General features: G+C 47.4%; 1 protein-coding gene across 7 annotated transcripts in view, besides 2 other annotated features; it reads left to right on the plus strand.

Annotated features, from left to right (window-relative positions):
• The window catches only part of ZDHHC14 (zDHHC palmitoyltransferase 14), a 296968-nt gene that overhangs the window by 209018 nt on the left and 67458 nt on the right, over positions 1 to 20492 (plus strand). For all 7 annotated transcript variants that reach the window (NM_024630.3, XM_047419366.1, NM_153746.2 and 4 more), the window contains exon 3: positions 2781 to 2939. In NM_024630.3, the coding sequence (NP_078906.2) occupies positions 2781 to 2939 (159 nt within the window). The remainder of the gene's footprint in view (positions 1 to 2780; positions 2940 to 20492) is intronic.
• Positions 2988 to 3489: an enhancer, noted in NCBI's record as "H3K4me1 hESC enhancer chr6:158014227-158014728 (GRCh37/hg19 assembly coordinates)". NCBI's record gives its function as "activates a minimal SCP1, AML or CMV promoter by ChIP-STARR-seq in primed H9 embryonic stem cells {active_cell/tissue: H9 hESC(primed)}" and the evidence as "EXISTENCE:reporter gene assay evidence [ECO:0000049][PMID:30033119]".
• Positions 3490 to 3989: an enhancer, noted in NCBI's record as "H3K4me1 hESC enhancer chr6:158014729-158015228 (GRCh37/hg19 assembly coordinates)". NCBI's record gives its function as "activates a minimal SCP1, AML or CMV promoter by ChIP-STARR-seq in primed H9 embryonic stem cells {active_cell/tissue: H9 hESC(primed)}" and the evidence as "EXISTENCE:reporter gene assay evidence [ECO:0000049][PMID:30033119]".

The raw sequence follows: 20492 nt of genomic DNA on the forward strand, positions 1-20492 counted from the left end.
GAAATTCAAGCTGACAGCAGAAATTTACATAAGAAACAAGGAGCTGAATGTTAATCACCAAGACAATGGGGAAAATGTCTCCAGAGCATGTCAGAGACCTTCATGGCAGCCCCTCCCATCACAGGCCCAGAGGTCTAGGAGGAAAAAATGGTTTCCTGGGTCAGGTCCAGGGCCCCCTGCTGTGTGCAGCCTATGGACTCTAACCCAGCCACTCCAGCCATGGTTAAAAGGGGCCAAGGTTCAGCTCAGGCCATGGCTTCAGAGGGTGCAAGCCCCAAGCCTTGGTAGCTTCCATGTGGTGTTGGTCCTGTAGGTGCACAGAAGACAATAATTGAGGTTTGGGAATCTCCACCTAGATTTCAGAGGATGTATGGAAATGCCTGGATGTCTAGGCAGAAGTTTTCTGCAGGGGTGGAACCCTCATGGAGTACCTCTGTTAGGGCAGTGCAGAAGGGAAATGTGGGGTCAGAGCCCCCACATAGAGCCCCCACATAGAGTCCCCACTGGGGCACTGCCTAGTGGAGCTGTGAGAAGAGGGCCACCATCCTCCAGACCCCAGAATGGTAGATCCACTGACATCTTGCACTGTGTGCCCAGAAACGCTGAAGACATTCAACTCCAGCCGTGAAAGCAGTTGGGAGGGGGGTTGTACCCTGCAAAGTCATAGGGCGGAGCTGCCCAAGGCTGTGGGAGCCTTACCTCTTGCATCAGCATGACCTGCATGTGAGACATGGAGTCAAAGGAGATTATTTTGGAACTTTAAGCTTTAATGACTGACCTATTAGATTTCGGACTTGCATGGGGCCTGTAGCCCATTTGTTTTGGCCAATGTCTCCCATTTGGAACAGGTTTATTTTACCCAGTGCCTGTACCCCCATTGTATCTAGGAAATAGCTAACTTGCTTTTGATTTTACAGGCTTATAGACAGAAGAAACTTGCCTTGTCTTTGGACTTGGACTTTTGGGTTAATGCTAGAATGAGCTAAGACTTTGGGGGACTGTTGGAAAGGCATGATTGTGTTTTAAAATGTGAGGACATGAGATTTGGGAGGGGCCAGGGGCAGAATGATATGGTTTGGCTGTGTCCCTACCCAAATCTCATCTTGAGTTGTGGTTCCCATAATCTGTACATGTCATGGGAGGGACCCAGTGGGAGGTAATTGAATCATGGAGACAGTTACCCCCATGCTGTTCTTGTGATAGTGATCTCCCGAGATCTGATTCTTTTATAAGAGGCTTTTTCCCCCTTTGCTTGGCACCTCTCCTCCCTGCTGCCATGTGAAGGACATGTTTGCTTCCCTTTCTGTCATGATTATACATTTCCTGAGACCTCCCCAGCCCTACAGAACTGTGAGTCAACTAAACCTCTTTCCTTTATCAATTATCCAGTCTCAGGTATGTCTTTATTGGCAGCATGAGAACAGACTAATACAATGTCCCACACCAATGAAAGACTCTCTGACAGCAGGACCAGGATCTCAGCAGTTCTGCTCAATGATTATTGCCCAGGATGAGTTGGTGTGGTGTGAGGGGACTGAGTGGGTGATGGGACTGATTCCTACCACTTTGGAAATCAACCAAAAGTATCTTGCAACCATCTCTGATAGTATGTGCTTTAAGAGGGTGAGAATTAAAATGAACAGTTATCTTTAATGTTACCAACTCTGATGCTCCTCAGGACTGATCCAGTCCCTTAGGTCTGGCTTGCATCTGTCAGCCACAGAGTCTCAGCTGAAGCTCTCATGGAAGTTCTTGATCTTCTCCATCCACCCTGCCCTCCTGTTCTTGACTGCACAGCCAGCTGCCCTAACTTCTTCTTGGCAAGGCTAATAGGGCTCTGAGGAGTCTAGGTGAAATAAAACTGGAAGTTTTATCTTCCCAGAGAGCAGGGGTTCTCAAACCTTGCCCACGTGAGAACAACCCGGGTCATTCTGATTTAATAAATCTGGAACAGGGTTCACACCTTGGGGGAGTTTTAAAAGCTCCCATGTGATCCTAATGTGAAATCAGAAATGATAAGATAAAATGGAAATTTAAAAACTCCACGTTTGTATTGTCATTGACATTTTTAGAACTGGTTCTAAAAATTAAAGGTGCTATTGAGATGATAAAATGTAGAAATGATTTTCAAAATATACATTTAATGATTTTTTAAAATGTATTTTTTACAATCTGGTTTCTCCCCCTCCCATTCTATACTTGGCATTTTTGAGGTAGCCAATGGGCAAAGTGAAGGGACCCTGGAGCTGGATTTGGAGTCCAGCATTCCAGGAGAGCGAATTAGGGTGGTGTGTTAATGAGGGCAAGGCTAGCAGTAACAAGTAACACCCTAGCCTTTCCAGGTTTAAGGCAGGAGTCTGGTGCTCACAGACCTGTGCAGGCGGGAAGAGGTCAGGGTGGCCCTCCTCTGTGCAGTCAGGCGACTCCCCAGCTGTGTCTCCCAAGATGGCCTGGGGCCTCTCCTGCCGCCTACAGGGAGGGGAGGGGGAAGGAGGAAAAGGGCGGGGCTCCACAGGGAGGGCCTGGCTGGGTGGGGCCATGTGTGCTGTGCTCCATTGGCCAGAGCTCAGTCACGTGGCCCCTGCACGTGTGCAACGAAGGAGGCCGGGGTCCCAGCGGAGGGTGAGTCCCAGAGCCCCAGCCTGGGTAAACCGTGGGCACCGGGGGCCCTGCCAGCCGCTGTGCCTGCTGCCCTGGAGCTTACACTCCAGGCGGACGGGTCCCGCCGAGGCAGAGGGAGGCTCTGAAGGTGTGCGCTCTTTCTCTTCTTTTCTCCACAGATATCGCAAACGGCACCAGTTCAGGGGGGTACCGCCCGCCTCCCAGAACCAAAGAAGTCATCATCAATGGCCAGACCGTGAAACTTAAATACTGTTTCACCTGCAAGATTTTCCGGCCCCCTCGCGCCTCCCATTGCAGCCTTTGTGATAACTGCGTAGGTGAGTAGTGCCTGGGCGGAGCCTGGCGGGAGCCCGGGTCCTCCGGGTGGGTTTGCGCCTCTCCAACCCTGCGCCACGGAACACTCAGTAATGGTTAATATTTCAGCGCATTTGCATGTTGCCACTGATTGAGTTCACCGGGCCTAGAGTCACCAAATATCTTTTTTATTCTCTTTACACCCTGCACCGCCCTTGGCTGCGAGGGCCTCCCCCAGCACAGGCACGAGAATGGGGTCCTCTGTCTCCCCAGGCTGCCAGGTCAGCAGGCACGTGAAATAAAATCATGTCTCCCCCAGGCCTCTCGATTGCCACAGGTCTGGCCACACACCTACGGGAGGCACCCTTGTGCAGTTGTTTGTCCCAGCTCCTCAGAGGGGCTGGGGGCGTTTAATCCCCACTCCTTCTGGGGACAGGAAAAGAGGCAGGATCCGGGAGACCTCTCCTCCAGGGGCTGGAGTTAGGATCTGTATTCTTCCCGGAGACGACGAAGGCCTCCCCTCTCTGCCTCCCAACTTCCGCCAGGACAGGCTAGGGAAACAGGCAGAGGGAACTGAGAGCTCAGAGGTCTGCAGCTGTAAGGCTGGGCCCTACCACCGGCCCAGCATGGGCCTTCTGCAAGTGACCCGGGCCCAGCCCCTGGGATTATTTGGCAAGCGCCTGTTGTCACTGCAGACTGAGAGCTGCTCCCCACACCCACAGACCCTCTTCTCTCTGTGGCTGGAGCTGCCTAGAGATGAGGTTGGCAAGGAGATGGCAGAACACCCAAGTGACAGGAAGGGAAGCAAGGAGAGGACAAAAGCTTTGCCCCAGTGGGGAAGACTCATGGCCTGCCTCTAGCGGAAGTGACCAGGGGTATTCCTGGGAGAATAAGCAATGGAAACCCTGTTACCTCGTAACTGAAAGGATAGGAGTGCACCTCAGAACAAACCTAGCTTCCCTTAGTAACACAGCATTGATTGCCAGCACTCTTCGTGAGTCTTAGAATTTGTAGTCTCAATTCTTCTTGAGAAAAATAACATTTTATAATGTACGTCCTGCTGTGCAAAGCAGTCTTCCGTTTGTCTTAAATTAACTTTACCCTAACTTTAATAATCTACAGTTTGCCACAAAGCTCATGTTTTCTCTATCAGGCCTCGTCTTGGTTTTCTTAACATAGATAAATTACTTTCAGCCTTGCCTCCCCAACAGAACAGTATGGAATGGGTTCTGCTTCTCCCATGTAGGAAGTAGCTGATGGTTAAGAGCATGGGATCTGGCACTGCATGGCCTGGGTTCAAATACCAGCTGCGTGACAGGCAAGGTACTGAAACGCTGTGTGCCTCAGTTTCGTCATCTCTGCGGTGGGGTTGATAACTGCCTGCCGCATGGGATAGTGGAGAGAATAAATGAATGAACAGGTGGAAAGTGCCTGGCATGTAGCAGACGCTCTGTGATTGTTAGCTGCTAGTGCTCTTGTTACTCCTCCTCTCTTGATAGTTTTGATTGGCTTTCTCTGGACAATGTCTTGACCTTCCGTAGATGCAGTGGCCAAAACTACACCTAGTTCTCCATGTGGGGGCACACCAGGGTTTCTACAAGGTTTCTACAAGGGACTCTACAAATCAGCCTTTGTTTGATTACCAGTACCCTTCCTGGTGACACCAGCCCCAGTGTCCATTCCACACCTATCTTGGGGACAATTTAAGCTGAAGGAGCACAGCATCTTAAATATCTCTGGGGGAACCGTCTACCTGTAGGAGTTCTCAACACCCTTTCTTGGGTTGTAATTTTGACCTCCAGGCCTGTGATGGGACAGTGTGTGTCTTACACTTGTGCACATAAACTCTTCTGTCATTCTGCATGCCTTCTCCTGGAGGTCTAATGCCTTATTCTAGACTATATTTTGGTAGGTAGGGTGTTGTTATCTGTAAAACTAAAGGTCTTACTGGGCACTTCCTTCTCTTTATCATTTATAAAACTTTTTATTCATTTCTAAACACACCCAATTTGTCCACTCATTTATCCTCTGTTTCTTGTCTCTAGGCTAGATTTTTTTTTTTTTTTTTTTTTTTTTTTTTTTTTTTTGTGATGGAGTCTTGCTCTGTCGTCCAGGCTGGAGTGCAGTGGCATGATCTCAGCTCATTGCAACCTCCACCTCCCGGATTCAAACAATTCTCCTGCCCCAGCCTCCCGAGTAGCTGGACTACAGGCGTATGTCACCCTGCCCAGCTAATTTTTTTGTATTTTTCTTAGAGACGAGGTTTCACCATGTTGGCCAGGCTGGTCTTGAACTGGCCTCAAGTGATCCACCTGCCTCGGCCTCCTGAAGTGCTGGGATTACAGATGTGAGCCACTGCTCCCGGCCTAGGCTAGATTTTTAATCACAGTCAAAATTTTCTTCTCAATCTACTGTGACTTACTATTTTAAAATTCCTTTTGGATTATTATCAGACACTGCTCTGAAAGTTCATATAATCACATTTGTTCCCTCCCATTGCCCACAGGTGTATGTGTCCCTTAAAGAACCCTGATGAATGAGATGTAAAAGCCCCTTATCACAGCTGTGCCTTTCCCCAGTGACGGTGTACTTCTGCATGTGTGAGTGTTTCCAGTATGATCCTCTCCTGTGCACTCTACCAGCCGTGAACCTAGGAGCCACCAGGCTATAATAGGCCAGGAGCCAGGCCTCCACCTTTCTGGTAAATCAAAGTCACGGTGGCCACCCAGTATCCACAACCGAACATGGTGGTGGTCTATGTATGGGAGACCCAGAACAGGAAAGAGAAAGGGAAAGGAGAGGAAGTGGGGAAGTTTGGGGCAGGATCTAGAGGAGGAAGACTGGAACCCAGGAGCACACCGCAAGCCGCGGCCTCTGAGTGGTGCTCAGGGCCAGCTCCGTGGGGGACAGGTGAAGAAGTAGCATATGAGTGATCTAAAATAAAGCTGCCCACAGGGCTCCTCAAAACACCACCCAGTGATTGAAAACTGCATAGCTTCGGTTTTCCGGTTAATTATGGGACACTGGGGCCTTTGGTTGACTGATGAGCAGGACAGTAGTTTGGACATTCTGCATTCAGGAAAATAGAGTGGAAGGCAAATGTCTCCCACTGAGAAGTGTAATTGCAGAGTTGGCCATGATCTTATTTTTAGATGGAAAGTTTTCACTGAAAGAATTCTTTTTGCAGCAAGAGAAGTAGCACAGTGGTATGCTGAAAGCTGAGGTGGGAACTTGTGGCTTCCCTTACCTTGTAACGAGCAGGTTTGAGCTGGTCCTTCCCAAGCACAGTAAATAAATGTCACTTTGCATGGGAGAGGAGAGAGGAAAAATGCAGCTTCCCAGGCCGTTCAGAAGAGCAGTTTTCTTTGTTAAATAAGTTTGAAAGTCATAGGGGCCTTTTTAGTTGAGGACTGAGAAAGAGCTTTCTCTGGTCAAATATAGAGTTAGTTGGCAGGCCCCAGTGGTTGGGGACCTGGCTCTGAGAACACACAGGCCAGGGCTGAATCCTGGTCCTCTCATTGAGTAATACTGGAACCTGGCAAGTTGTCTGAACGCTCCCAGCTGTTACCACATCTGTAAAATGGATGTGATCCTAGTGCTACCCCCTCGGTTTCTTTTGAAGATTAACTGAGATAGTGCCCACCACAGCACCCAGCACAGACAGACCTGCGGCACACTGAGGGGCCAGTAAGCGCGTGGCTCTGGCCATTGATGGTCTCATCAGTGATGGGAATGCCACCATCGGTGCTCCCAAGTAACTGATTACAACAAGAAGCGTCTTCACAAAGTAGTAGGAATCGCCTTGTTTCTCTGTAATCTGGAAGGATTTAGATGATCTGCCGTGATCGACGTGAATGTATTTTCTGTCTCTCTCTGACTTTGTCCCTGCTGCCTGTTTCCGTCTGTCTCTTTCTCTGAATCCTTGACTGTCTCTCTGGTTCTCTGTGAGTCTTGCCATCGCGTTCCTTCTGCACACGTGGAACGCAGCATTTCGGGTTGTTTATTTATCCAGGCGGGCTTTGAGGTTACGGAATATTTTTAAACAACCAACAGCTGGGGCCAGGGAGCCACCTCTTCTCTCTCGGATCCTCATATCCCTCAAATCATTAAAGCGAGAGAAACTGAAGGAGCTGAAGAGGCAAAGCATGGGCCTGTGAGACCCTCTCGGGCTCACTATGTATGTTTTAAAGCCCCAGGTGCATGCTGCCCTCGTTTTTCTGATGGGGTAGGCCCTATGAGGGATGTCTGTCGTTTGGTGGGCCCTAGTCCAGCGTCGGAATTGCCAGCAGCTTTCGCTGGAATGCGTATTTTTAGTACAGCCTAAACCTGTAATAAAAAGGGATTTACATGTACTAGATTTTAATCACATACTGTGGACAAACTAATAAGAAAGTTTGCTAGACAGTAAGATGAAACACTGCCAGCATTTTTGCAAACCGGTTATACAAGAGTCTGCCTAACTCTGGCCAGACCCAGGCAGCTTAGTCTAGAGGTTCAGAGGTGGCCTCTGGAGGCAGCTGCAGCCTGGGTCCCAGCCCTGCTGTCCTGTGTGGGCACTGGGACTGTCTCTGCACCTGAGATGCCACATCTGGAAGGGCTGTGAAGACGAAGGAAGTAGTACATGGAGCCCTCAGGCCATGCCAGCCCCTGGGGGGCACCGAGCAGACCAGCCTCCTCCCACATCCAGGACATGGCCTGGTCCCTTGTTTTCTGTCCTGTCATTTTTGGTGTGGGTGCCACAAAGAACCTCCAGGCGCCCTCTGCAGGGACTCAGTGTCCAGTCGCTTTTATTTCTGGCAGGGCTTTCCCCTGCCTCTTTTAAATCCTTACAGGCTCTCTTTCTCATTCCCTCGCCTCTTTTTGGCTGTGCTCTTCCTCTCCCGGGCACTTGACTGCATCTTACTGCACACTCTGCCTTCTGTCCCACAGTGTCTGCCCCTTGTTGCTCTCACTGCTTCCTCTGTGTGTGAGTCTGAACTCAGACTGCAGATACCTTGTGTGTTGCATACACTCTGCTGTGCGCTGCCCTCAGGAACCCAGCCACTGCTTCACAGTTGTACATTAAGAGTTTGGACATGGCAGAGATTCGGCCCTGCAGCTGCCTTCTGGTGTGGATTAGCACTTGGGAATGCCTTTGTAACTATTTGGGTATGATGAGGGGGCTATTAGTTTCTCATAGGAAAGCAGGTCATTGGAGGGGAGTGGAGGGAGCTGAGATTCGTATCCTTGTTGGAACCAAAACAAACAGGACTTTACTGATTCTCCTGGTTTCCGCTATCTCTTCATTTCACCAACATTGAATAAGCATCTATGTGTTAAGTGCTGTGACAATAACTAAGTATGTGAAAATATGAGCCAGTCCCCAGGGATCATTATTAAGAGCAGACCAAGGAGAACTCAAGGCAGACAGTATTGTATTTATCATATTACACAGGTTAAAGAGTAATTTTATATTGGTTAAGAGTAGAATTAAATTACCAACATTTATGCACCAAATAACATTGCATCAAAATATATAAAGTAAAGGTTGTTAGAAAATGCAAAGGTAATTTGTTACATAATGCTAGTGAGAAATAATAGCATACATCTGTTTTTCATGGCTCAGGTCAACAAACTGTAAGTAGAGTATGCCAGTGTATAAGTATAATAAATGTATGTTGAACTTCGTTTTTACAAAGTGTACTTACCATGTTCAACCATTCATGGAACATTTACAAAAATTAATCATATTAAGCCCAAAACACTTTCCAGCGTTCTAAAGGCAGATATCACACTGAAAATGTCATCTGATGAAACAATAAAACTAGAAATGAATCACAAAGATAGAAATGTACAAACATACCTAATTGTAATGCTTTTAAAAAAAACTTTAAAAAACTTTTATAAATCTTTGTAAAGAAGCTTTTTAAAGAGGCTTTTCATAAATCTTGGGTGACAGAAACTTCAAAACTGCAGTTGTAAAATATTTAGAAAATGGCAGTAAGAACAATGCAAAAGAAAACCATGCCATTCAGAATTCTACATTTTAAACATGAGAAATAGTTAATCTAAGCAGAAGAGGAATGAACCAGAAGACTGTCGGGTTGCCGGTAGAATCAACAAGGAGGCTGGAGAATGAGGCTCAGAAACCAGGAACAGTGGAGGAGGCTGGGCAGCCCCGCACGGCCAGTTGCATCTGCAGCAGGATGTTGCAGGAGGCAAGTACCACAGGTAGGACGTTTGCGGCACCACCACTGAGTTCCCTCTGCTGCAGCTCTCGACGAAACTCTGACTGTCTTCAAAGACCACAACTCCGGATTCAGACACCTGGGTGGGAGCCCTTGGCCTGTTTTGTTTCCACGCCCAAGCAGACAGCCAGGCGAAGGTGGCGACTGCCCCACACTCAGCATCTATAATGAGGATGGGAGGATGGGGCCCTGCCTCCCACCTATTTTGGGGTTCTCCCCAAACAGGAAGTTTACTTTAATGGTGGATGGCCAATGAAATAAAATACTTTAAAAAGTCTAGTACAAAAAATAAACTGAACTTAGAAGCAAATAAATGAACAAAGCATCCATCTCCAGAAGGCAGAAAAAGAGCAGCAAATAAACTTAAGGGAAACCATAAGAAAACAATGACTTAGAAAACAGCAACCAATAGGTTGCCAAATCTAATTCTTTGGAGAACAACCAACCAAGGCATTAACGTCTGGTAAGACAAAGAAATTAACAAAGTGCAAGTAACAGATTCAAATGAAACAAATATAGGTGAGATGGTTTTCTATAATTATTGAGAAATATATTATTTTGCCGTTGTGTTAACTCTATGCCAATTGATTTGAAAAATCTCAGTGAAACATGATTGTATAGGAAAATGGGCCAAGGAGTGAGTAGAAAACTGGAATTGATTACTAGCCATGAAAAACTGAAAAGTTTTATGAAGAACCATGTGAGAAAGGTGCTGGGCCCAGACAGCTTACTTCCTATGTTCTGAGTAGTGTCTGAGAGCTTCGGAAAGGTTGAATGGTTTTTCAGTTCATTTCACCAAAATAGTATAACCCTAACACCAAAACCTTACAAAAATAACATGCAGAATAAAACCCCCACCCTTATTTATAAACATTACAACAAGCCAACGTGAAGACATAGCAAACTTAATCTACCAGTATAATAAAGAATTAGTCATGACATGGAAGGATGTATTCCAGGAATGTGATTTTTTAATGTTAATAAAACTATTAGTATATCAATAGGTCAAAAGATAAAAGGTATATGTGATCATGATAATAGATAATAAAAAGGGATTTGATAAAATGCGACATTTGTTTTGTATTTTTTGTGACAGTCTTGCTCTGTCACCCAGGCTGGAGTGCAGCTCACTGCAACCTCCGCCTCCCAGATTCAAGTGATTCTCCTGCCTCAGCCTCCCGAGTAGCTGGGATTACAGGTGTGCACCACCACGCCTGGCTAATTTTTGTGTTTTTAGTAAAGATGGGGTTTCATTATGTTGGCCAGGCTGGTCTTGAACTACTGACCTCAAGTGATTGGCCCACCTTGACATCCCAAAGTGTTGGGATTACAGGCGTGAGCCACCGCACCTGGCCAAGACATTCATTTGTAGCTATAGAACTCAGTGTATCCAGATTGGAAGGTGTGGTAGGCAGAATTCTGGCCCCCATGACTGCCCCTTCCCCTCACACCCCCCGGGTTGCTCCAATGGTTATGTCACGTTGCTTGGCAAAAGGGACTTTGTAGATGTCATAAAAGGTGACTAATCAGCTGACTTGAGAGAGTTTATCCTGGATTATCCAAGGGGCCCAGTGTAATTCCAAGAGCCCTCAAGAGCAGAGCTGGAGAGATGCCGCGCAGGAGGCCTGGGTGCCGTTTCGGAGCAGGATGGAAGGCGGTGAATCCCGCCTCCAGCATGGAGCTCGGGAGAGGCCCTGACTGCAGATGGAGAGGCTGCCCTGGCCGCAGCGCACGGGGCTCCTGACCCACAAAAATCGCGAGATAATGAGTTCATGTTGTTTGAAAGTCCGTCATTTCTGGTAATTTGCTATATAAAACTATTGCTATACGATTAAAAACTAATACAGAAGAATATTTCTTTAACATTATGTTAAAAAGGAAAAAAGCTAACATTTTCTTTATAGCAAAACACTGCCATGATTTACATTAAAATTAGGAACAAATTAGGATGTCTAGTATCATTACTAATATTTTACAATATCTTTTCTAATTAATGTGGTAATGTAGGAAAATAAACACAAATATATAACTATCAAAAAAGAAGAAACAAAATCACCATATTTTGTAGCTGACAAGAGCAATAATAACAGTACCAACAAACATTAGAACTAGTTTTTTTATGTTTAGTAGGTTTATCAGTTACCTAATAAATACATTAAAATAGCATACTATGTATCAGTTAGGAATTGTAATAAAAATCAAGACATGTACTCTCCACAAATTTATTTAAATTTAATGAATTATGAGTCGGGGGGCAAGATAAAATAGCTGTGAAATGTAATTAGAAGAATATACAAACAACAAACAATAACATTTCAAACCTAGAACGATGCAAGGAAACATGCACTATTTGATATTATGAGGTCCTGTGAAGTCCAAAGATGAGTTACAGAAAGTGACTTCAGGGCCCATGCACATGCTTTCTGTGTGTATGTGCATGTGTGTAAGTGATTTCTTCATTGCCCATTTTTGTATTTTCCACATCTCCAAAGTGACCATTAAAATGCACCATTCTTGGTAGGCAGCGTCTTCATTCTGGCTGGGGAAGGCAGAGATAAAGAATGCATTCAGGGCTGGGCGCGGTGGCTCACGCCTGTAATCCCAGCACTTTGGGAGGCCGAGGCGGGCAGATCACAAGGTCAAGAGATCAAGACCATCCTGGCCAATATGGTGAAACCGCGTCTCTACTAAAAATACAAAAATTGGCTGGGCATGGTAGCACACCCCTGTAATCCCAGCTACTAGGGAGGCTTAGGCAGGAGAATTGCTTGAACCCGGGAGGCTCGAGGTTGCAGTGAGCCAAGATTGTGCCACTGCACTCCAGCCTGGGGACAGAGCGAGATTCTGTCTCAAAAAAAAAAAAAAATGCATTCAGGCTGGTCATGGTGGCTTACGCCTGTAATCCCAGCACTTTGGGAGGTCAAGGTGGGCCAGTCACTTGAGGTCAGGTGTTCGAAACCAGCCTGGCCAACATGGTGAAACCCCGTCTCTACTAAAAATCCAAAAATTAGCACCTGTAATCCCAGCTACTAGGAAGGCTGAGGCAGGAGAATCGCTTGAACCTGGGAGGCAGAGGTTGCAGTGAGCCGAGATGGCACCACTGCACTCCAGCCTGGGCAACAGAGCAAGACTCCGTTTCAAAAAAAAAAAAAAAAAAACGCATTCAGTGCCACCGGGAGCTGTGTGCAGGTTCTGGGAGAGCGCAGATTCCCCAGTTTGTCCCTATGCTGAGTTGCCAAGGCTAAATAGGAGTTACAGTGTATAGACTACCTGGGGTACTGAACGGTAGGACAGAAGCTCAGGGATGTTCAGGGCAGGCAGGGCATCCAGCCTGGCGGGGTGTGTGAAAGTGTCAGGAAGGCCGGGCTCCTGAGCATGCAGGGAGCTGCTTACTCTTCACCCGCCATGAGGATGCTTCCTCTGAGCTTTCTGGAGTGCTACGTACCCAGGCTGGGTTCTGCTGCTGCTGAGGGCACCAGCCCCTTCGTGCTAGCCTGTCAGTTTTGTCTTAGTGTCTGGAGTTTAGTCGTTTCTTTGTGGTTTAAGCAACAGGTCCTGTAACTAAACTTAAAAATCAATCAAACAATCTAATCCATGCTTTCGGGTCCAAGCCACCAGTCATGTCTGCACCCTTTGCTAGTCACTGAGCTCTCTGGAAAGTACCTGCACACCCCAGACCGTGGGGCCATCGTCCCCCTGGGTGTCTGAAGTGGATGTTGCCGTGGCTTACTGCAGGCTGGGACGTCCACAGTGCTTCATGGCAGTGCCAGGGCCCAGGGCTGGACATGGAGAGTCAGGTGAGGAATCCAGCCATCTCTGTGGAACGCTTTGTGAAGCAAGTGTTTACAATGAATCCAGAAGCACTTATGGAGTGGCTGCTATGTGCACGTAGAGGGCAAAGAAATTTCACACAGGTTCGTTCCCTGCCCTTAACGAGTTTTCCACGTAGTTATGAAAAGATAACTAACATCATAAAGAAGTACTTGACAAGGTCGTAGCACTCAGGATGGTCATTTTAGACCAATTCCCGTAAAGGGGAGAAATGAGAGAAAAGGCTGAAGAAATTAGCTGGCAGCCACACTGAGAGGCCCTTGGATGCCCATCTAGGAAAGAGGGACTTGACTCAGCTGCTGGAGCACGATGCTTGAACAGGAGATTGAGAGGGCTGGAATTCAGCCCTAGGAGGACTGATCTGGCATCCGAGTATAAAGTGAGCTGATGACAGGTAGTAGGCAGCTGTTGTCTGATGATGCCGTATTACAAGCACCCTCAAAAACCTCTGTGGCCCTTAACAAGCAGCATTTCTTTTTCTCGTGTGTCTGTGGGACATCTGGGGCAGCTCTGCGGATTAGGCAAGGCTCGGCCCCGGGCGTTGGTTCAGGTTCAGGTCTCCTCAAATGTTTTTCCAGGACCCAGGCTGAAGGGAGGGCAGCTACCTGTGGTACTTACTGGCCGCCATGGCCTAGAGCTGAGACATGCAGTATCCCTTACAACCTCTGCCTGTGGCGAAGACTCCATTGTCCAAGGAAGGCACACAACATGTCAGTGGGACAGGGAAGGGCACGCCACCTCAAGAGGGAGAGAAGTGAATACATTTGGCTCTCTGTATTCATGGGTTCCACATCCATGGATTCAACCAACCTCGAATCAAATATACTAAGAGAAAAAATTATGTCTGTACTGAATGGGTACAGGGGAGGCTGAGGCATGCAGATGGCTTGAGCCCAGGAGTTCAAGACCAGCCTGGGCAACATGGCAAAACTCCATCTCTACAAAAAATACAAAAATTAGCTAGGCGTGGTGGCGGGTGCCTGTAAGCCCAACTACCCAGGAGGCTGAGGCAGGTGGATCACCTGAACCAGGGAGATTGAGGCTACAGTGAACCTTGATCACGCCTCTGCGCTCCAGCCTGGGTGATGGAGTGAAAGCCTGTCTTAAAAAAAAAAAAAAAAAAAAGTAATCTAGAGTTGACCTGAAGGATACTGGAGGCTATGCATAGGCTATATGCAAACACTACTCCATTTCTTAGCAGGGATTTGAGCATCTGTGGGTTTCGATATCTGAGGGAGGTCCTGGAAGCAATCCCCCTTGGATACGGAGGGATGACTGTGTTTACTAGAACAATACAGCCTCTCACATGAGGGGAGACTTGAAGACCCAAGACCAGTTATTTTCTAAGAAGCAGTTGTGTATTTGTTACTCTTTTTTTTTTTTTGAGACGGATTCTTGCTCTGTTGCCCAGGCTGGAGTGCAGTGGCACGATCTCGGCTGCAACCTCCGCCTCCCGGGTTCAAGCAATTCTCCTGCCTCAGCCTCCAAAGTAGCTGGGACTACAGGCACGTGTCACCACACCCGGCTAATTTTTGTAATTTTAGTAGAGACGGTGTTTCACCATATTGGTCAGGCTGGTCTCGAACTCCTGACCTCAGGTGATCCACCTGCCTCGGCCTCCCAAAATGCTGGGATTACAGGTGTGAGCCACCATGCCCAGCCCTACACAGTGCCTTGCTAGGTGCGCAGTAATCTGTTGTTGACATGAGTTGCCCAGAATTGAAATTGGCTTCCAGCAATGGATATTGGAGTTAGGGAAGCAGAAGATGAAACATACCTTACCAGCCCTGAAGTTTCTTCTTCCAAGATATTTGTGGCTGTGTCAGCTGATCCAGCTGCTCTCTGTTGAGTGTTGGCAATAAACGTTTCACCAAATTCCACCCACTATTTGTAGGAGTTGGGCAGAACTGAGCTGTTAAAGCCTAGAAACTTTGATAGTGAATAATAACCCATGTGCCTTAGTTTTGAAAGCTTAATATGTGTTTGCACATTTTTTAAAAAAGAGCTATGAAATAATTTGGTTTGCTGGAACAGGTTAAGTTTTATTTTGTTTTAAAAAAGGTTGAAAAGTATTTTAAATAAAAGACTAATTGAAATGGAAAGATTATATTTTGGGAGAAGCAAGAAGAAAGTGTATTTTAAAATCCAGTAATGTGCCTTTGGAAATGTAATGATTATCTTTTTTTAATTAAATAAGTGAAATGAATACTTAGAAACTATTTGTACTAAGAGAGCTCTTCCATTTTCATAATACCATCCTTTATTTATGTATGGATTCTTACATTTGGAGGAAGTCTTCCCTGTGTTACCAAGCAATGGGCTGGAAAGTGTCACCCCCATTTGCTGTGGAACTCAGGTTCAGAGAGGGCAGAGACTTGACTCCGATCAGACAGCAAGGTAAGAACTGGAAGGCAGCCTCCCAGGCCCTGTGTGAAGGTTCATAACGGTTCATGGACTTAGAGCAGACAGACACTCAGTGGGCCTGAAAGCGGGCAAGCAGCAGGTGACAAGTCAGATTTTAACATGTGAGGAAGGCCATGACTTCTACCCCAGCCCAGCAGGAACGCTGTAGTATGTCCAACAATTGGTGTCAACCGTGAATGAGACTCTGCGTGGGCACAGCGGGTGGGGGGTAGGGGGCACGCAGGAGAGGAGAGGAGGATGAATCACATGTGGTCACCAGCCTATAAAGGCTTTTGAAGACTCCAGGAGGAGTAGAGAAGGTAACCATCTGTTATAACCCAGCTGAGCCCAGGCAAAGTCATAAATAAGCTCAACTTGCTAGTTCTTCCCCCAGGATTATCATGAAGTTAGCAAGATATATATGCTGAGTACTTTACGTGTTTAAAACTTCTGTCATATGTGTATATGAAGATCGCATTACTCTCCTGAAATTATACTACCTGCACATTTTAGTTTTCAGGATAACACAGGTCTCTATGCCTCAGACCGGGCATTTTCCCCTTCACGGTTCCCATGAGCCCCTTAAGATCTGAGGAGAGTCTGGAAGCGGTGGCTCATGCCTGTAATCCAAGCACTTTGGGAGGCCGAGGTGGGTGGATCAGCTGAGGTCAGGAGTTTGAGACTAGCCATGGCCAACATGGTAAAACCCTGTGTCTACTAAAAATACAAAAATTAGCTGGGCATGGTGGTGGCTGCCTGTAATCCCAGCTACTCTGGAGGCTGAGGCAGGAGAATTGCTTGAACCTGGGAGGTGGAGGTTACAGTGAGCAGAGATCGCGCCACTGCATTCCAACCTGGGGGACAAGAGCAAAACTCCATCTCAAAAAAAAGAAAAAAGAAAAATCTGAGGAGAGAGTTTAATGAGGTGAGCTGCATGCTTGGATTAGAAGATGCCAGAAGTATGATGGAATGCAGCAACTTGGATGGAAACGTCCAGTGGTCCGCCCCATGGCCTCGAGAGAATGAGTTCACCAAGAAGCCGGGTGGGTGATCAGTTGCTGTGAGGGCAGTCAGAGCAGGCTCATGGCCCTGGTGCAGAAGTGCAGCTTGGGACCCCGTCACCTCCCAGGGCATAGTCTCACCCGCGGTCAAGAACTTTGCTTCTAGGGTTTGTTTAGAGCAGGGATTCCTGACCTGGGTGACATGAATGGAATTCAGGGGTCCACGAACTTGGAGAGGAAAACAGTTACATTTTTATTTCCACTAACGTCTAAATGAAATTGAATATTTCCTTTAATGAATATGGGAAACACATCACACTAGTGGTGTTTGTCACCACTAGAAACTGCAGCTATTTTATATGGTGTCATGGTTATTGCAGATAGCTCAGCATAACATTTACACTTGCCACTACTTCAAAATTGTGGAAGATGATAAACCATAGATCTTACTAGTTAGCATATTCGAAGTATGTATTTTTCTATATCACGATGTCGAAATTATGTTAGAAACATCGTCTTTATTATTGCTTTCTTTTGTCATCTCACATATTTATGTATTTAGAAACATGCTGGGAAGGGGTTCACGGGCCTCAGCGGAATGCTGAGGGCTTCATCACACACACAAGAAATCTCAGAGTCCCTGGTTCACTCTTGTTGAGGCTCTTAAATTGTTAGAAAATAGACTCCCTAAGATGACAAGTCACATTATCTCTCCACCCAACCAAGGAAGGGGTTTGTGTAGATTTTTTTCAAATAGTATACAAAACCATTTCTTTCAAGAATGCCGCATTTAAAGGCTCTTTTTTTAAAACAAACAAACAAACAAACCAACTACAGTAGGCTCCTTCCGCTTCCTCTCTCTCTTCCTCTTTTCCTCTCTCAACCCAAACACAGTTGTGCAGCATGCAGTTTCCTGAGGGTAGGGAGGAAGGACCACCTACAGTGTGGCCTGCCTGGCCTGGGGTTTTCTGTGAGCAAAGGATGTTTAACCCTTTCATTGCAAAGAAGCAAGAGAAAGGGCAGTGGCAGGGTGAGGTCTGTGCAGGTGCCCTCTGCCCTTTCGTCTGGGTAAACAGAAACCATCTTCATGGCTGTTTAAACGTTGGAGAGCCTTTGTTCCCTCTCGTTGTCCATACTTTCTTCAGTCCCTTTATGCTACCGAGAAATATTGGGAAGAAAAGAACCCTCAGTGTAGTTAAAGAGATTAAAACCTGTTCACAAGAGAGAATAGAATATTGACAGTGCCGTCTTAAATTTGAAGCAGCGATTCTTTCCAAGCTCCGCATGGGCTTTCTGAGGGCTTGTATCACATCCATTTCTATTGAAAGTTGACAGAAACAAGATCGTATTGCACAATGTCTTCTTGGCTCTCACAAGTTAAATTCCTAACAATGCGATGTGCCATTATATGATAAAAGTAACCAGTGTCTACCTGGTTTGTGCCTGAAAATCCACTGCTTATCACTACTGATTTGTGGGTTTGTTTTTCACCAACGAATTGAAAACATGCATTTTTTTCCACCTTTGCTCATGCTGACACTTCGCTGGAGGACAGGAAGTCACGCTGTGCGTGCATGGATTTGCCGTCATGCTGTATGTGCTCAGGGGGCGTCCTCAGAGCTGTACCCAGAGCGAGAAGCACGTCATTCATTCACCCTACTTCAGAAATATCCACTGACGGCCGATTATATGGGCTCTGTGCTCGGGAGCTCTGGGAGACAGTGGTGAATGTGGTCAACATGGCCCTGCCTGCAAAGAGCTTAGAGATACCCACCGAGAAGCACAGGTGGATTAGGAGGCACCGGTGGTACAGGGAGGTGAGTGACACAACGGCAAAGTCCAGCTCACATGGGAGCATACGGGAAAGATGCCCAACCTGGAGGAAGCAGCGTCCCATCTGGGCTGAGCTCTGGTCAGCCAGGCACAGAGAGGAGAGCTAGCAAGAAGATGCTGCTGTGCAAGTGGGAGGATGCCTGTGCTGAGCCCGGGCAGGAGAAGATGGGCCTGCCCGAGGGACCAGAGGTGTGGCTGACGTGGAGACTCAGGTCAGAGTGAGTCAGTGTGGCAGAGAGGGCTGCAACAGGCCAGGGGGTAGGCAGGCACCTTATAAGCCACGCAAAAGAGTTTTGATCTTATCTGAGGACAAGAGACAAAAGTGGCCTTATCAAATGCATGCTTCAAAAAGTGTCCTCTGTCTCTCCAGCAGAGAACAAACTGGATGGTGGCACGACAGAGCCAAGGAGACGAGAGGGGGGGCTGTCCCCACAGGGCGGGACAGGGCACTAGAGTCCAGGCCAGGGCAGTGGCCAAGGAGACAGAAAGATGTGGATGATTCCAGAAAAATTTCAGCCAAAGAACTGACAGGACTTGATACTTCATTAAATTCCTGGAGTTGGGGCAAAGGAGAGTGCTTGACCCCTCTGGTTCCTGAGAGCATGGTTTTTTCCCCATGCTACCAAGTAATGCTTTTAAGGAAAAGTAGAGTTCACATATTTTAAGTGGATCATGGCTTGGTGACCTGAGTCTGTAAAGTATGTAATTCAGTGTAACTACCTGGACCCCTTGGGTTCTTGGTCCAGAAGTTGATCTGTGGCAGCCTAAAATAAACATGAGGACCTCGAAACAGTGGGATCAGCTCCAAAGAGCCAGAGCTGAGCACTGCCTGTGTCAAAAGGTGCGCACCTGGAGGGAAAGCGAGAGGTGGGAAATGGATGTAGCAGCAATGGCACTGGACAGGAGAGGCCTTAGAAGGAGCCGAGGGCAGCTTGCACTGGGCAGAGAAGTCCACGGCTGGCCCTGAAGGAGAAGCTGCTTTGTGTAGGGTGATGGCCACTCCAGGAACAGCTGAGGATGATTGCCAGGGCACTCAGGATGCTCCCTTTATCCAGAATGTCTTCCCATCATCATCTCTCTCTTTTGCCCGGTGATCTACAATTTACAAAGCAACGTCATAAAGAGCAGGAAGAGTTTTGTGTTGAGTGAGGTAGGTTGCTCGAGGGTCTTAAATAAGAAGTGCCATCATGTGCCACAAGTGGGGAGTCCATCTTCCATTCTGCTCTGAGCAGTGAGTGTCTTTCCCTGTCTTGTGGGGTCACAGAATAGGGACCAGAGGAGGTGGCCGGGCACTGAGCTTGCAGATGGTGGCCCAAGGAGTAAGCAAGCCCTTCAGGAGAGCCGGTGGACAGCAATGGAATGCTTGAAGGGGCTCTGTGCAGGGGCTGAAGCCAGTGGAGTTGGAAGAAGAGCCCAAAGTGTCAAGGGGAACAAGCAGTGGGACCCAGAGGCAGATCCAGCCTGGATCAGGGTCTGCTCACCCAGGCCTGCCTTAAAGTAGCAACAACTCCTTGGGGACAAAGAACTGGGGAGTAATCTCACAACATACTTTTTGGAAATTTTGCCTCTGACTTTGTGGGGTGAATCATTGAAGTTCATCACAGAGGGGGCTGCAGGCCATCCCAGGGGAGTCCTTTGTTGGCATCATAGAGGCCCACGCAGTGACCCCCAACCACCTTAAATATTCACAGACAGCTGAACTGGGCAGATCCCACCCACGACCTGAGTCAAGAATCTACACCTGGGCTGGGCGCAGTGGCTCACACCTGTAATCCCAGCACTTTGGGAGGCCGAGGCAGGCGGATCATGAGGTCGGGAGATCAAGACCACGGTGAAACCTCGTCTCTACTAAAAATACAAAAAATTAGTCAGGCGCGGTGGCAGGTGCCTGTGGTCCCAGCTACTCGGGAGGCTGAGGCAGGAGAATAGCGTGAACCCGGGAGGCGGAGCTTGCAGTGAGCCGAGATCAGGCCACTGCACTCCAGCCTGGGTGACAGAGCAAGACTCCGTCTCAAAAAAATAAAAATAAAAAAGAATCTACACCTGAAGTAGAAACTAACTACCCTTCTGCCATGAAGTTCTGCAGAGCCTCCTTTTATCTCAACAGGCTCCACATTTCAGGTTCCTGTCGGTCACTCCTGAGAGTCTCAACAGCCCCTGGAGGTCAGGATGGAGGGAGGGGCTACACATTCCAAGAAGGAGAGGCAGCGTTGGCCCACAGAGCGGCCTTGGTCTCAATGTTGGACTTGGAGGACTGGAGCTTGTGGACAGACCCATGTTG

The sequence above is a fragment of the Homo sapiens genome, chromosome 6 (genome assembly GCF_000001405.40).
Source record: "Homo sapiens chromosome 6, GRCh38.p14 Primary Assembly".
Lineage (NCBI taxonomy): Eukaryota > Metazoa > Chordata > Mammalia > Primates > Hominidae > Homo > Homo sapiens.